The sequence below is a fragment of the Homo sapiens genome, chromosome 22, assembly GCF_000001405.40.
Source record: "Homo sapiens chromosome 22, GRCh38.p14 Primary Assembly".
Classification (NCBI taxonomy): domain Eukaryota; kingdom Metazoa; phylum Chordata; class Mammalia; order Primates; family Hominidae; genus Homo; species Homo sapiens.
This window is the reverse complement of record NC_000022.11, coordinates 31,592,174-31,609,118: the sequence shown is the minus strand read 5'-3', so window position 1 is coordinate 31,609,118 and position 16,945 is coordinate 31,592,174. Positions and strand designations below refer to the sequence as shown.

The 16,945-nt window shown below is 51.6% G+C and overlaps 1 protein-coding gene across 5 annotated transcripts in view, besides 1 other annotated feature; it reads right to left on the bottom strand.

The window, feature by feature from the left end:
- The window catches only part of SFI1 (SFI1 centrin binding protein), a 122,450-nt gene that overhangs the window by 9,470 nt on the left and 96,035 nt on the right, over positions 1 to 16,945 (bottom strand). For 4 of the 5 annotated variants that reach the window (NM_001258325.1, NM_001007467.3, NM_014775.4 and 1 more), the window contains 7 exons: positions 6,826 to 6,907; positions 6,334 to 6,512; positions 5,300 to 5,375; positions 4,715 to 4,810; positions 4,174 to 4,250; positions 2,689 to 2,791; positions 1,086 to 1,182 (listed from right to left, as the gene is read on the bottom strand). In NM_001258325.1, coding sequence (NP_001245254.1) covers positions 1,086 to 1,182; positions 2,689 to 2,791; positions 4,174 to 4,250; positions 4,715 to 4,810; positions 5,300 to 5,375; positions 6,334 to 6,512; positions 6,826 to 6,907 — 710 coding nt within the window. The remainder of the gene's footprint in view (positions 1 to 1,085; positions 1,183 to 2,688; positions 2,792 to 4,173; positions 4,251 to 4,714; positions 4,811 to 5,299; positions 5,376 to 6,333; positions 6,513 to 6,825; positions 6,908 to 16,945) is intronic. The other variant, NM_001258327.2, reaches the window with a different exon arrangement.
- Positions 15,668 to 16,476: an enhancer, noted in NCBI's record as "H3K27ac-H3K4me1 hESC enhancer chr22:31988629-31989437 (GRCh37/hg19 assembly coordinates)". NCBI's record gives its function as "activates a minimal SCP1, AML or CMV promoter by ChIP-STARR-seq in naive H9 embryonic stem cells {active_cell/tissue: H9 hESC(naive)}" and the evidence as "EXISTENCE:reporter gene assay evidence [ECO:0000049][PMID:30033119]".

Below are 16,945 nucleotides of genomic sequence, written 5' to 3'. Positions count from 1 at the left end.
GCTGAGGCAGGAGATTCGCTTGAACCCCAAGAGGTGGAGGTTGCAGTGAGCCGAGATCGCACCACTGCACTCCAGCCTGGGAGACAGAGTGAGACTCTGTCTCAAAAAAGAGAGAGACTGGGTCTCATTCTGTCACCCAAGCTGGAGTGCAGTGGTGTGATCATAGTTCATTGCAGCCTCCAGCTCTTGGGCTCAAGTGATCCTCCCACCTCAGGCTCCCAAGTAGCTGGGACTATAGGTGTGTACCACTGTGCCCTGCAATCTTTCCAAAGATGTATATACAGCAGGCAGCAGGACTTCCTGAGATCGAATTAGAAAGTCTCTGGCCCCTAAACATTTAAGGGCCCAGCTACACAAGGAAGCAGGACGCTAACACGGTGGGGGCTGCCCTGACAAGCAGCAAGGACTTTCCCATCAAAACAACCCCCTCCCCAACCACCCCAAGCTCCTCCATTCCAGCTTCTTTTCTTTATTTCTCTGTAGATCTCAAGCTCTAGCCTTCCATTTTAACATAAACTGGTTGGCAGTCAGTTGGGAATAGATTTCTAAGATATACTGGACTGAACAGTGCCCCCTCCACACCTGCCGTATTCATGTCCTTCCTGGAACCTCACAATGTGACTTTTATCTGGCACTAGGCTCACTGCAGATGTAATTGGTTAGGATGGTGTCACACTCAAGTAGGGTGGGCCCTTCATCCGATATGACCAGAGTCCTTCTAAGGGACCCAGACACAGGAAGGGAACGATATGTCAAGATGGGGCAAAGACTGGAGCAATGGGTCTACACGTCCAGGAAAGCCATGACAAGCAAGAAACAAGCTGGGAGAGGCAAGGAAGGACCCTCCCCTAGAGCCTGTGGAGAAGCATGGCCCTGCCACACCTTGATCGCTGACTGCCAGCCTCCAGAACTGAGAGGGCAATTTTGTGTTGTTTGAAGACTCCCAGTCTGTGGTACTTTGTCATGGCAACCACAGGGAACTGGCATGTATGAGGAGGAGACAGACTTATGCGGGCCACAGGGATCTCCACAACAGCGCTGTCTTCACATTCCTCAACATGACTTGCTTCTGGGGCCCCACTTACCCCTGTCCAGCACCTTCTGGGCCTCCCAGATGGCACAGTCCTCCTGCTGTCGGTAATACATCTGCACTGACACAGCTTCCCGCCACTGGACCAGGACCTATGGGCAGGCAAGGAGCACAGCAAGAGTCACTATACCTCCTGGCTTCCGGGTCCACCCCAGGTCTGTGACGGTGGCTCCTGGAGAGGCAAGGCCAAGCTGTTGCCATTTGCTTCTCACACACGGTCCAGGAAGTAACTGCCTTGCACGCAGACCACTGAGCAATAGGACAGGGCCCCAGCCCCTCACAGGAAGCCCAGCATTTCAGCTGCTGGGACTCTTCTACCAGGATTTACATATCATACCATGCCATAAAGTAGTGAAGTCATTATATACATGGGTCTTAATTCTATTTTTATATATATATAAAATATATATATGTAATTTTTTTTTTGAGACATAGTCTCGCTCTGTCACCTGGGCTGGAGTGCAGTGGCATGATCTCGGTTCACTGCAACCTCTGCCTCCCAGGTTCTAGCGATTCTCCTGCCTCAGCCTTCTGAGTAGCTGGGATTACAGGCATGCACCACCACACCCAGCTAATTTCTGTATTTTTAGTAGAGACGGAGTTTCACCATGTTGGCCAGGTTGGTCTCGAACTCCTGACCCCAAGTGATCCACCCGACTCAGTCTCCTAAAGTGCTGGGATTACAGGTGTGAGCCACTGCGCCCGGCCTCTATTACTATTTAGTAAATGGAACACACCTACGTCGTATACATTCTTTTGTATGAGTGATGCCTACAAAATCACAATAACAAAACACTTGCCCAGGGAATGCCTGGTGCCTGCTCTGCGAGCTGTCATGAACTCCATTCCCACCAAAAAGGCCTCCTCTTCAAGCTCTGAAGCCAAGCAAAGATTCCTGTGTTCCTTCTTCCAGGGGAAGGGAGGCACAGGCTAGCTTCGGGTATTTTTTCTTTTCTTTTCTTTTTTTTGAGACAACCTTGCTCTGTTGTCCAGGCTGGAGTGCAGTGGTGCAATTCGGCTCACTGCAACCTCCACCTCCTGGATTCAAAGAGCCTGTAATCCCAGCACTTTGGGAGGCTGAGGCAGATGGATCACCTGAGGTCATCAGTTCAAGACCAGCCTAGCCAATGTGGTGAAACCCCATCTCTACTAAAAATACAAAAATTAGTCGGACGTGGTGGCGCAAGCCTGTAGTCCCAGCTACTCGGGAGGTTGAGGCAGGAGAAATCGCTTGAACCTGGGGGATGGAGGTTGCAGTGAGCTGAGATGATACCACTGCACTCTAGCCTGGGTGACAGAGTGAGACTGTCTCAAAAAAAAAAAAAAAAAAAAAAAGAAAAAAAGAAAATACTGGTTCTGATAAGAACTAGTTCACTTATGATGTGTTATGTTTCTATTTAATGCATATTGGTTTGTAATTCAGTAAAAAACTAAACATGTGCCCACATGGATGTTTGTGTGTGTGCTGGAGGAAAGTTACCCATTTTCTAGGTTCCTTATTCAGTTCAAATCTCTGGCACCACCCCCTACATCCCACGCCCTCACCAGAACACAGTCCCAACTCTCCTGGGTGACCAGCTTGCCTCCTTATACCTCACCTTGGAACATATGGTCCTTCTGTAATGAGTACTTGCTTGAAAGGTTTTTTTGGCTTCATCCACTCGGGCCATGGTGTTCTCTTTCCAGCGACGTAATGCCCCGCTGCAGATGCATGGGTGCGAGGAAGGCAGATGACACCAGGATAGAGAGAGAAGGGAGGCTTCTGTGAATCATTCCTACTTCTTCCCCTACTCCTGAGTCAGGGACTCTACACCTAAGAATGTCTGTTTCACCAACACCTATGTTTACTTGCACATCTATGTCCAACAAATGGCTACTGAGCAGCTGCTCTGGGCTGGGCACCAAGAGTGCATGAGGGACCCAGCACTGCTGGAGACCAAACTCCAGGTGCTACGGGGATAACAGGGCATAACCAGGCAGTGGCAACACAGGTGACTCACACTGTGATAAGAGAAGTGTGGAGAGACAGGGAACCTGGAGGAAGGTTGCCTACGCCTCAGCTTGCTGCTGAGTTAGCTCAGGGAGTTCTTGCTTATTCCACCCTGTCTGAAGAGCGGGATGGGTGCTCTATGGGACTCCATATGAGGGATGGAGGCATTTATTTTATTTATTTACTTTTGAGAGACAGGGTCTCACTCCATCGCCCAGGCTGGAGTGCAGTGGCATAATCACGGCTCACTGTGGCCTTGACCTTCAAGGTTCAAGTGACCCTCCCACCTAAGCCTCCCAAGTACCTGAACCACAGGCATACATGACCGTGCCTAGCTAATTTTTTTTATATTTAGTACAGACAAGGTCTCGCTATGTTGCCCAGGCTGGTCTGAAACTCCTGGTGTCAAACAGCCTCCTAAAGTGCTGGGATTACAGGCATGAGCCACCGCGCCCAGCTAAGGATGGAGGTGTTTAAAGTCCACGAGACCCACTGTCCATAGGCCACCAGGAGTATCATGTGCTGAACAAATACAAAGGAAGGAAATGAAAGGGGGCATGTGGGAGGACTGCTGGGAAGGAGTGAGGTTAGAGTTGGGCTTAGAAAGAGTGGCAGAAGCTGCAGAAGCACCCTCCACAGGGGTGAGTGGTGCAGATGGTCTGACAGGGCCTAGAGGTGACGCTGGAGAGTCAGTGACAGGCCTGCAGAGCAAGCTGGAAGGGGACTACTTGGAAATTGACAGGAAAGGGAGTCGCTGAAGCCTCTGGAGTGGAAGAGATGACAAGGTGCCTTGCAAAGCTGAATTTTGTAGGCGTGAAGCAGGGAGGAAAAAGTGCTCAGAAGAGCAAGACAAGTGGCCTTTAAGGCATGCAGGTAACAGCTGCTTTCCAAGGTCCTGCCCTGCACACAGCAGGGGCTTAAGACATGAAGGCGAACCCGTGAGTGAAGTGGAAAAGCCAAGACCATGATATTAGCGACTAGGAACCCGGGATCATCCCCGACCTGGCCCTCAGCAGGACCCCCTAAAAGGCTGGGGTTTGGAGTGCATTCCTTGTTCCCCAGCTGGAGCTTGGGAGGCGCCCGGGAGACTCACCGCAGCAGCTGCCTGTTGTGCTGGCTCTCCCTGGCTGCCACCTCCCGGAGGATGCTTCGCACCCTGCCCTGGTAAGTCTGTAGGGGACAAGGAAGACTGAGGCTGCTCTTGGGCCCACACTTCCCCCTGTTTAGGCAGGCCTCAGAGGTGCATCTACCACAAGGCTGCCATGCCCAGAGAACTCAAAAAGGGTAGGAAGAGGCCAACAGCCCCTGGTCCCAGGGCCAGCAGACCCTCCCAGACGACAGGGAGAAACTGTCTCACAGGCCCTCACCTCCTAAGTCAAACCATGGGACTCCAGGGAAAGGAGCTGCTTTCGCTACAAGGCTAGTACCCACAGACAGCACTTGTTTCCACTTGGCCAAGCAAGAATCAAAGAACCCTATGGCCTAAGGCCCGCTGTCCGGGGCACCTGCTTGGTTTGAGGTGTGTCACGTGACTCTGTTCTGGGACGGACAGGAAGAACAAGGAAGGAAAACAAAGTCTCCAGAAACCTCCCCTGTCCCCACAGCAAGATCAGGAGGGAAGCAGCAGTTCCTACCACCCATGCCTGCAGCGCCCTGTGCAGCACGCTGTGCTGGTGGTGCAGGTCTGCTCGCATCAGCTTCTGCCGCTCCGCTCCCCGCAGGGCCAGGCACTGCAGACAGAGGAGAAAGCAGCTACCGTGGGCTGGGGTCTGAGTTGGGGGTGGCTTCCTGCTTTGCCTCCATTTTATACATCATCTGTGTGAGTGTAAATTAACCTCTCTGGCCTCATCTATAAATACGTGCTTCTTAGGGGTTCTGTGATGATTTGATGAGGTAAGTGCTTGATTTGCGGTAAAAGCTCAATTAATGTGAGTTTAAACATGTTTTACACTCAGTAGGACGTAGGACTCCTGTAAATGGTTAGATCAGGAATTTTAGATGCAGTAAGTTCAAATAAGAACAGCCTAGGATCTGAAAGAACACAAAATTTTGAGCCAAATCAGCTCATAAAACTGAGTTAACACTTTCTATGCTGCCTGTTCTCCTCCTTCAGCTCAGAGGTAGGTGGTGTGGCCCATATGTTGCCTGTGAGTCCTGCTGACACACAGCCCACCTGTCCAAAAGTCATACACGGGTGGCACCTCGCACCAAAGCCTTACCTCCCTCCACTGGCTCCAGGCCCAACGCAGGAGCTGGGCCATGTGGAATTCTGCTGCCCGCACCCTGCCCGTCCTCCTGTGGGGAGATGGCAGAGCTCAGTGCTGCAGCCCCCACCCAGTGAGGGCACCCTCTATGGGTTCCTCCTCATAGTCCATAGCCCTACCTGGTTAAGTTTTTGGGGGAGCCAAGACCCTCTCTGAAGAGCTGCCAAAGAACTTGCAGTCTCAGAAAAAAGCACCTATGATCAAATTTTGGCCTACAACTTCCCAGGGCTTCAGGTGCCATTGAAGCTCACATGTGCAGGTGTGAAGCCCCCAACTGAGAAACTGGTTAAACATGGTCAGTGTGCGACAGGGAGTGAGATCCTCAGAACACACAGTGGACACTGAAAGGCCCCAAAGCAGGACAGTCTCTATAGTGACTGGGCTGCCTCCCCTCCTCTCTCTTAACTACGTGGTGTGGTTAAAAACTGCCACAACCCACCCACTGGCCACAGCTGCTGTCCCTATCCCTTATCTGCAGCAGTCAGCTATCACAATATGGGCCCATCAGTTTATTCCCTGGCTATGGTCACTTTTGTTCGTTTGAGGCAGAGTCTCGCTCTGTTGCACAGGCTGGAGTGTAGCGGTGCCATCTCGGTTCACTGCAACCTTCACTTCCCGGGTTCATGCCAATTTCCGTGCTTCACTCTCCTGAGTAACTGGGATTACATGCTTGCGCCACCACGCCTGGCTAATTTTTGTATTATTAATAGAGAGGGTTTTCTCCATGTTGGTCAGGCTGGTCTCGAACTCCTGACCTCTGGTGATCTGCCCGCCTCAGCCTCCCAAAGTGCTGGGATTACAGGCGTGAGCCACTGTGCCCGGCCAACCTAGTTTTACTTAAGACTCTTTTAGGTTGAACTTCCAGAACTTACAACCAGAGTCTGGGGTAATGCAGTCCTCCAGACAGGCACTTGGAGCTCATGGTGCTGCTAGAACAAGCAAAGCTGGCCTGTGATGGAAAGGCTTGTAAGGCAGAACTGGCCACTCACTCTGTTCTGAGCCCTTGGGCACTTTCCCTCCAGAGGCAGAAAGCTTTCTTGAGCCGCCCGTGGCGGTGGTGGGCACAGGCCACTGTTTGCCACTCCTGCTCCTGGTGACGTGCTGCTGCCTGCTGGTGCCACATGAACCAAGACCTATACAGAAGCTGTCGCTCTGCGTGAAGGATGGCCTGAGGCAGGACAGGAAGGAGAGAACAGAATAAATCAAGTAGGAGAGAGGCACAGAAGCCAGGAAAGAATTTACAGGCCACAAATAATGACTAAGGCAAAAGGAATGGATGTCAGGACGTGGTCCAGCCCAGAAGCTGTCTGTAGGCTCCACTGAGAAAGGACAGATGCCCCAGAGCCTGCCCTGCCTCAACAGTCACAGGCAGGGGCCCTCCAGTGAGGTCCGAGCAACTTCCTGAGGAGGGGAGGCCGTGAGTGCAATGGCTTGAATCAGATCCTGCCCCTCCACACATCTCCTCAGGGACAGCCATTTACCATTCTCTCTGCCAGGCGGTTTTCTCGATGCTGAAACATCTTCTGCCTCCAGAGAGAAAATACTTGCTTCTCTAATGTCTCCCTAAAAAACAAGGAAGAATGTAAAGCACTTAAAACAAACATAAAAATTAACCCAAACAGAACTAGAAGTTCCAAATAATTGGATTTTTCCTTTTATACCATGCTATCGTATAAGAGGTGAATTAAGTGGCTGGGCACAGTGGCCCATGTCTGCAATCCTAATACTTTGGGAGGCCAAGGCAGGAGGATCGCTGGAGGCCAAGACCAGCCTGGGCAACATAGCAAAACTCCATCTCTACAAAAAAATTTTAAAATTGCTGGGTGTGATGGTGTGTGCCTGTAGTACCAACTACCTGGGAGGCTGAGGTGGGGGGATCGCCTGAGCCCAGGAGTTTGAGGCTGTGGTGAACTATGATCACGCCACTCCACTCCAGCCTGGGCAACAGAGTGAGACCCCGTCTCTGAAAAAAATAAAAGAGGTGAATAAGCTTAGATGAGGGAGAAAGCAACACAAAGAGAAAGGGAAGGAAAGCAGACAGCCAAAAAACCATAAACTGTTAAAAAGGCCAACATTTTCCAGGTTGTTTCTGGTATCAGCCAAGCCTTCACACCGTACGAAAAAGACTCAGACCCTGAGACCCCAGGTCTTCATTAATTCTATATTGACTTAACAGCACTGATAAAGGATTGTTCATGAGAGCCCTTTCCAGTGCATGCTGACCAACGCTTTGGGGACCTGTTGAAAAACAAGGGGCAGACCCCTAAGGCTGACTGAGCAAGTCTGAGGGGGGGTCCCAGGAAATAGTATTTTAAACAAGTATTTCAGGTGAATTAGAAAAGTAGAAAGGTTGGCCGGGCATAGTGGCTCACGCCTGTAATCCCAGCACTTTGGGAGGCCGAGGTGGGCGGATCATGAGGTCAGGAGATCGAGACCATCCTGCCTAACACGGTGAAACCCCATCTCTACTAAAAATATAAAAAATTAGCTGGGCCTGGTGGTGGGCGCCTGTAGTCCCAGCTACTTGGGAGGCTGAGGCAGGAGAATGACATGAACCCGGGAGGCGGAGCTTGCAGTGAGCCGAGATCGTGCCACTGCACTCCAGCCTGGGCCACAGAGGTTGCAAAAAAAAAAAAAAAAAAAAAAGTAAAGAAAAGTAAAAAGGTTTGGGAACCACTGTTTTGTCATCTCTGCCTAGGCCTACAGATCACCATTAACAACATCAAATCCTGCAGCAGCAGTGCTGGGACAATTGACCAACAGCCACTAGGGGCTACATGTTGGTGAAGCCACAGGATCCATGTTCAGCACTGGGGGATCTTGCTCCCCTGACATTTAACACGCAAGACACATCACTTAAAGCAAAGATTCCACTTCTAGTCAGAACACAGTCACTGGTCCTGGATCTGCCCTCTGGCCATATATGACAAAACTAGACAAAATACATATGGCAACTGTCTTCAGGCGCTGGACAGTAAGTGTAGATTCTGATGCTGAAAAGATAGGACACGGGCGAGGTGAGCCCCTAGGCCGCCCAGACTTTCTGCCTGGGGGCACCTTCTAAACAGTGAGGGGAAGGGAGGCTAAGCAGAGCCTCCCTCAGTCTCAGTGAGCTGAGGAGGCAAAGACTGGAGTTCATGACTGCCAGAGGGGCTGGAATTTGGGGTCAGGGTACTAGAAAGGAGACAGCTGAACAGAGGGAAATACCCAAAATTTTACTGAGGTTGTCCCAGGTCCTCAGATGAGGGCCTGGAGGCCTAGCAGAGAGTGACTGCTGCAGGGCCAAGAGGGGAACAGAGACAGCAGAAGCTGGACAGGGTTGAAAGACGGAGCTCTGGCCCAGCCAGAGGGCAGAGACCAGACACAAAAGCTGAGATCGTTCAACCCCAGTTGACCTTAGTATAAAAACACTAAAAGATCATCTTTAGGCTGAAGGGAAATGATACAGATGAACATTCAAATGTACAGGAAGACACAAGGAACACTGGAAAGGGAAAATATGTGGGTAAATATAAGAGGCTGAATTTTTTTCTTCTCAATTTATAAAAAGAGTACTGATTATTTAAAGCAAAAATAGTAACGTTGTAGGCTGGGCCTGGTGGCTCATGCCTGTAATCCTAACACTTCAGGAGGCTGAGGCAGGAGGATTGCTTGAACTCAGGAGTTCAAAACCAGCCTGGGCAGCATAGTGAGACCTCGTCTCTACAATCAATCAATCGTTAGACATAAAATGTATGACAAAAAGTACCACTGGTTGGGGGTGGTGGCTCACTCCTGTAATCCCAGCACTTTGAAAGGCTGAGGCAGGAGGATGTCTTGAGCCCAGAAGTTCAAGACCAGCCTGGACAACATAGTGAATCCCCACTATGATTTATTTCTTAAAAAAAAAAAAAATAACAACAATAAAAATATCATCAAGGATGGGGACAAAATAGAATTTTATTGTTTTCATGTTCTTGCACTAAACATGAAATGGTATATTAATTCTAAACAGAACTGGGCCAGGCATGGTGGCTCACGCCTGTAATCCCAGAACAGTGAGAGGCCATGGCAGGAGGATCACTTGACCCCAGGAGTTTGAGACCAGACTGGGTGACATAGTGAGACCCTTTTTCTACAAAAAATTAGAAAAAAAAATTAGTCTGGGCTAGGCACGGTGGCTCACGCCTGTAATCCCAGCACTTTGGGAGGCCAAGGCAGGTGGATCACGAGGTCAAGAGATGGAGACCATCCTGGCCAACCCAACATGGTGAAACCCTGTCTCTACTAAAAATACAAAAATTAGCTGGGCGTGGTGGCGTGTGCCTATAGTCCCAGCTACTTGGGAGGCTGAGGCAGGAGAATCGCTTAAACCTGGGAGGCGAAGATTGCAGTGAGCCGAGATTGTGCCACTGCCACTGCACTCCAGCCTGGCAATAGAGCGAGATTCTGTCTCAAAAAAAAAGGCTTTTCAACAAATGGTGCTGGAAAAACCTGATAAACACAGAAAAAAATAAACCTTGACTCCTACGTCATATCATATGTAGAAAAAAAATTCAAGATGATCATTGACCTAAATGTAAATGCTAAAACTATAAAGCTTCCAGATAAAATATAGGAAAATATATTTTCAGATCTTAGAGTAGCAAATATTTCTTAGGGAGGACCCTAAAATCACTAACCATAAAAAAAAAGGATAAATTGGGCCGGGCGCGGTGGCTCACACCTGTAATCCCAGCACTTTGGGAGGCCGAGGCGGGCGGATCACAAGCTTAGGAGTTCGAGATCAGCCTGACCAACACAGTGAAACCCCGTCTCTACTAAAAACACAAAAATTAGCTGGTCGTGGTGGTGTGCGCTTGTAATCCCAGCTACTCAGGAGGCTGAGGCAGGAGAGTTGCTTGAACCTGGGAGGTGGAGGCTGCAGTGAGCTGAGATCGTGCCACTGCACTCCAGCCTGGGCAACAGAGCAAGACTCCATCTCAAAAAAAAAAAAAAAAAAAAAAGATAAACTGGACTGTATCAATCCAACAGAATTCAAACACTTCTGCTCATCAAAAAAAAAAAAAAAAAAAAAAAGGCCAGGCGCAGTGGCTTATGCCTGTAATCCCAGCACTCTGGGAGGCCGAGGCGGGCGGATCACGAGGTCAGGAGATCGAGACCATCCTGGCTAACAGTGAAACCCCGTCTCTACTAAAAATACAAAAAATTAGCTGGGCGTGGTGGCAGGCGTCTGTAGTCCCAGCTACTCGGGAGGCTGAGGCAGGAGAATGGCATGAACCTGGGAGGCAGAGCTTGCAGTGAGCTGAGACAGCGCCACTGCACTCCAGCCTGGGCGACAAGAAAAAAACCATGCAAAACTAACCTATGATGACGGAAATCAGAATACTGGTTACCTATGCAGGGTAGGGACTGACTGGAGGGGACATGAAGGAACTTTCTGGGGTAACAGAAATGTTCTGTATCTTGACTGGAGTGTTGATTATATAGGTGCATAAATTATGAAAACTCGGCCGGGCATGGTGGCTCACGCCTGTAATCCCAGCATTTTGGGAGGCCAAGGCGGGCGGATCATGAGGTCAGGAGATCCAGACCATTCTGGCTAACACAGTGAAACCCCTTCTCTACTAAAAAAAAAAAAATACAAAAAATTAGCCGGGTGTGGTGGTGGGCACCTGTAGTCCCAGCTACTCAGGAGGCTGAGGCAGGAGAATGGCATGAACCCAGAAGGTGGAGCTTGCAGTGAGCCAAGATCACGCCACTGCACTCCAGCCTGGGCAACAGAGCGAGACTCCGTCTCAAAAAAAAAAAAAACCTATGAAAACTCATCGAACTTTATTTAAAATCTATGCCTTTCACTGTATACACATTTTATCTCGATTAAAATAAAAGACAAACCAATTTTGTCTCATTCTCAGTACCTTTCACTGGAGGGTTATAAAAATTATTTTTAGCCATAATTCATGAGATTCCATCATAAAATCTGTCTATATTCCTAAAACATTAAAAAATACCCTAAGAATATCAAAGATACATATTTATTTGGAACTTTAATTTGCTAAACTCCAAACCAATCCTCTGAAAATGTACTTACCATGAGAGTCACAAATTAAAACAACTCCAGGGGCCACAGGGACAGTTCATATTTTTATGCTAGGCCCTTGGTTTGCATTTTACATGTTTTCCCATTTCATTTTCATGACAACCATATGAGATAGAGACTATGACCACATCATCTCAATTTTACATTCGAGGAGACTGAGGCTCAGAGAGACAGACTGACTTGTCCAGGGTCACAGAGCTGGCAGGCGACAGAGCATAGGTCTGAACTCAGGCTTGTCCAGCTTCTAAGCCAGACTCTCAATCACTCTGCTCATGAACAAGGAAAACAGGAATCCAAAAAACCAAGTTTACTGAAAAGGTCCAACCAAGCCAAAACAGGTAAAAATCTAGATCAGGCCTACACCGTCCTGCAAGCCTCCTGGCTATACCCTGTCTCCAAGTCGCCCTCTGCCCTTTTTCTCCAGAGTGATAGCTCTAAAACCACCCAAACTGCTCCCTAGCAAAAATCCTTTAAAGGCTCCTCTTGGCTATTTGGAAGGTACTTTTAATTTTTGGTTCTCACAGCATACAAAATACAAAAAAAGAATAGAACCAAGCACGGCTACTTGACAGTAAAAAAAGAAACGGGTACTGTGTGTGCATGTTTTCAGTACTGAAGCCATTTGGAAACGGGTACTGTGTGTGCGTGTCTTCAGTACTGAAGCCATTTAGAAACGGGTACCGTGTGTGCGTGTCTTCAGTACTGAAGCCATTTAGAAACGGGTACCGTGTGTGCGCGTTTTCAGTACTGAAGCCATTTAGAAACGGGTACCGTGTGTGCGTGTCTTCAGTACTGAAGCCATTTAGAAACGGGTACTGTGTGTGCGTGTCTTCAGTACTGAAGCCATTTAGAAACGGGTACTGTGTGTGCGTGTTTTCAGTACTGAAGCCATTTTTTTTTTTTTTTTTTGAGATGGAATCTTGCTCTGTCACCTAGGCTGGAGTGCAGTGGTGCGATCTCGGCTCACTGCAATCTCCACCTCCTAGGTTCAAGCGATTCTCCTGCCTCAGCCTCCCGAGTAGCTGGGATGTGCGCCACCATGCCTGGCCAATTTTTGTATTTTTAGTAGAGATGGGGTTTTGCCATGTTGGTCAGACTGGTCTCCAACTTCTGACCTCAGGTGATCCACCTGCCTTAGCTTCCCCAAGTACTGGGATTACAGGTGTGAGCCACCGCGTCCAGCCTGAAGCCATTTTTGAATGAATCTTATACCAGCCCACAATACATGACTAGGTAAAGGCAAAGCTGCTCTGTCTGCAGAAGCCAGAAGAGACAAGAGATGTCCTTTCATCAGCCTCTATTTCCCGTGGCCACCACCTAAAACCATCTCCCTGGACTTCGTACTAAGGAAGCCAGAGTTCTGGCTAACCTCAAACTAGCATTCAAAGCCCTCCAGATGGATAGACAGATAGATAGAGAGAGAGAGAGATATTTATTTTGAGATGGAGTCTCGCTCTGTCATCCAAGGCTGGAGTGCAGTGGCGCCATCTCAACTCACTGTAGCCTCTGCCTCCTGGGTTAAAGTGATTCTTGTGCCTCAGCCTCCGGAGTAGCTGGGATTATAAGCATGCACCACCACGCCCCGCTAATTTTTGTATTTTTAGTAGACATGGGGTTTCACCATGTTGGCCAGGCTGGTCTGAAACTCCTGACCTCCAATGATCCACCCACCTCTGCCTCCCAAAGTGCTGGGATTACAGGCATGAGCCGCCACACCTGGCCTGAAATCCTCCAGATTAAAGATGACTGCAACTTCTCCCAATGCATGCCCCTCCATCTCACCCCTCTGTCCTAAGATAAAGTACACTGAACTTAAGGTAATTTCCAAAACTGTCATTTTACTAGTTCCATGTACCTGCTCAAATATCTTTCGAATATCTATCTATAGGGTCAGCCCAATCTCTTCAGTCTGGGCCTCCCCATCTTGCCCACTCCAGCCACCATCCTCACCCTCTCACTCACAGGAAGCCTCTCCCAGATACTTCCATGCTCAGTCTCCCTCAGCACTAGCTCTGAGCACTGGAAGAACTTGTGGCTGACATGACTGGGGACACGTGGATCTGTTCTCTTGAATTGGTTCTCAGTTGTTTCTTATCTCCTCACAAAAATTTCACCCTCCTACAAAGTCATCAAAAAGATCTTCCTCTTGATCAAGAAGAAAGCACCTGGACTTTGGAACTGGAGATGTGAATTAACCTGGCTGTACCACTTACTGGTTGTGTTACCATTTATCATTTTGAACCTGACCTCTCAGAATCACTGTGAAAAGGAAATTATTAATGAAGATAATGATGCCATGGGCAGAATGAGTTTATGTATTTGTTTTCTGTCTCCCATCACACAATGCCCAACACAGTGGCAGACATACAGTTAGTGATTAATAATTTCTTCATTACAGGCTGGGCGTGGTGGCTCATGCCTGTAATCCCAGCACTTTGGGAGGCCAAGGCGGGTGGATCACGAGGTCAGGAGTTCGAGACCAGCCTGGCCAACATGGTGAAACCCCGTCCCTACTAAAGATACAAAAAATTAGCCGGGCGTGGTGGCGCACACCTGTAATCCCAGCTACTTGGGAGGCTGAGGCAGGAGAATTACTTGAACCCAGGATGTGGAGTTTGCCGTGAGTCAAGATGGTGCCACTGCATGCCAGCCTGGGCGAAAGGACAAGACTCCAACTCAAAAATAAATAAATAAATAAATAAATAAATTATTATTATTTCTTCATTATGTCCCACCATATACTAAGAACCTGCTGTGGGCAAGTTTGTCCCTGTGGGAACTAAAAAGATGTAGATCTGCTCCTTGAGCTTTCTAATTTTTTTTTTTTTTTTTTTTTTTGAGACAGAGTCTCACTCTGTCGCCCAGGCTAGAGTGCAGTGGTGTGATCTCAGCTCACTGCAAGCTCCGCCTCCCAGGTTCATGCCATTCTCCTGCCTCAGCCTCCTGAGTAGCTGGGACTACAGTCGCCCACCACCACGCCCGGCTAATTTTTTGTATTTTTAGCAGAGACAGGGTTTCTCCGTGTTAGCCAGGATGGTCTTGATCTCCTGACCTCGTGATCCGCCCGCCTTGGACTCCCAAAGTGCTGGGATTACAGACATGAGCCACCAGGCCCGGCCTTTTTCTTTTCTTTTTTTTTTTTTTTGAGACGGCGTCTCGCCCTGTCACCCAGGCTGGAGTGCAATGATGCGATCTCAGCTCACGGCAACCTCCATCTCCCAAGTTCAAGCAATTCTCCTGCCTCAGCCTCCCGAGTAGCTGGGATTACAGGCATGTGCCACCAGACCGGGCTAATTTTTGTATCTTTAGTAAAGAGAGGGTTTCACCATGTTGGCCAGGCTGGTCTTGAACTCTTGACCTTGTGATCCGCCCGCTCCGGCCTCCCAAAGTGCTGGGATTACAGGTGTGAGCCACTGCACCCGGCCCGACCTTTGTAATTTTGTTGATGACTATCATTTCAAGACTTCAAAAAGCCAGGTCTAGCAGAACAGGAACTAAGTGTTTCGGGGAAATGACACTTAAGAATGTCTGCCAAGGTGAGGCAAGGTCCCACCGTGCTCTGATCCAGAAAGCTAATGGGCTGCTTTAATGGAGCTCTCAGTGGCTAATAATGAAGGTTACAAACAGGCTGTTTTGAAAGCCCTTGAAATAAAGATGGACACCTCCCTCTCCCTCTCCCTCTCCCTGTCCCTCTCCCTCTCCCTCGTCTCCGTCTCCCCATGGTCTCCCTCTCATGCGGAGCCGAAGCTGGACTGTACTGCTGCCATCTCGGCTCACTGCAACCTCCCTGCCTGATTCTCCTGCCTCAGTCTGCCGAATGCCTGCGATTGCAGGCACGCGCCGCCACGCCTGACTGGTTTTGGTGGAGACGGGGTTTCGCTGTGTTGGCCGGGCCGGTCTCCAGCCCCTAACCGCGAGTGATCCACCAACCTCGGCCTCCCGAGGTGCCAGGATTGCAGACGGAGTCTCGTTCACTCAGTGCTCAATGGTGCCCAGGCTGGAGTGCAGTGGCGTGATCTCGGCTCACTACAACCTACACCTCCCAGCCGCCTGCCTTGGCCTCCCAAAGTGCCGAGATTGCAGCCTCTGCCCGGCCGCCACCCCGTCTGGGAAGTGAGGAGTGTCTCTGCCTGGCCGCCCATCGTCTGGGATGTGAGGAGCCCCTCTGCCTGGCTGCCCAGTCTGGAAAGTGAGGAGCGTCTCCACCCGGCCGCCATCCCATCTAGGAAGTGAGGAGCGCCTCTTCCCAGCCGCCATCACATCTAGGAAGTGAGGAGCGTCTCTGCCCGGCCGCCCATCGTCTGAGATGTGGGGAGCGCCTCTGCCCCGCCGTCCCATCTGGGATGTGAGGAGCGCCTCTGCCCGGCCGAGACCCCGTCTGGGAGGTGAGGAGCGTCTCTGCCCGGCCGCCCCGTCTGAGAAGTGAGGAGACCCTCTGCCTGGCAACCACCCCGTCTGAGAAGTGAGGAGCCCCTCCGCCCGGCAGCCGCCCCATCTGGGAGGTGAGGAGCGTCTCCGCCCGGCAGCCACCCCGTCCGGGAAGGAGGTGGGGGGGGGTCAGCCCCCCGCCCGGCCAGCCGCCCCATCCGGGAGGGAGGTGGGGGGTCAGCCCCCCCGCCCGGCCAGCCGTGCCGTCCGGGAGGGAGGTGGGGGGGTCAGCCCCCCACCTGGCCAGCCGTGCCGTCCGGGAGGGAGGTGGGGGGGTCAGCCCCCCGCCCGGCCAGCCGCCCCGTCCGGGAGGTGAGGGGCGCCTCTGCCCGGCCGCCCCTACTGGGAAGTGAGGAGCCCCTCAGCCCGGCCAGCCAGCCCGTCCGGGAGGGAGATGGGGGGGTCAGCCCCCCCGCCTGGCCAGCCGCCCCGTCCGGGAGGGAGGTGGGGGGGTCAGCCCTCCCCCCGGCCAGCCGCCCCGTCTGGGAGGTGAGGGGCGCCTCTGCCCGGCCGCCCCTACTGGGAAGTGAGGAGCCCCTCTGCCCAACCAGCCGCCCCATCCGGGAGGGAGGTGGGGGGGTCAGCCCCCCGCCCGGCCAGCCGCCCTGTCTGGGAGGGAGGTGGGGGGGTCAGCCCTCCGCCTGGCCAGCCGCCCCGTCTGGGAGGTGAGGGGCGCCTCTGCCCGGCCGCCCCTACTGGGAAGTGAGGAGCCCCTCTGCCCGGCCAGCCGCCCCGTCCGGGAGGGAGGTGGGGGGGTCGGCCCCCCGCCCGGCCAGCCGCCCCATCCGGGAGGGAGGTGAGGGGGTCGGCCCCCCGCCCGGCCAGCCGCCCCGTCCGGGAGGGAGGTGGGGGGGTCAGCCCCCTGCCCGGCCAGCCGCCCCGTCCGGGAGGGAGGTGGGGGGGGTCAGCCCCCCTGCCCGGCCAGCCACCCCGTCTGGGAGGTGAGGGGCGCCTCTGCCCGGCCGCCCCTACTGGGAAGTGAGGAGCCCCTCTGCCCAACCAGCCGCCCCATCCGGGAGGGAGGTGGGGGGGTCAGCCCCCCGCCCGGCCAGCCGCCCTGTCTGGGAGGGAGGTGGGGGGGTCAGCCCTCC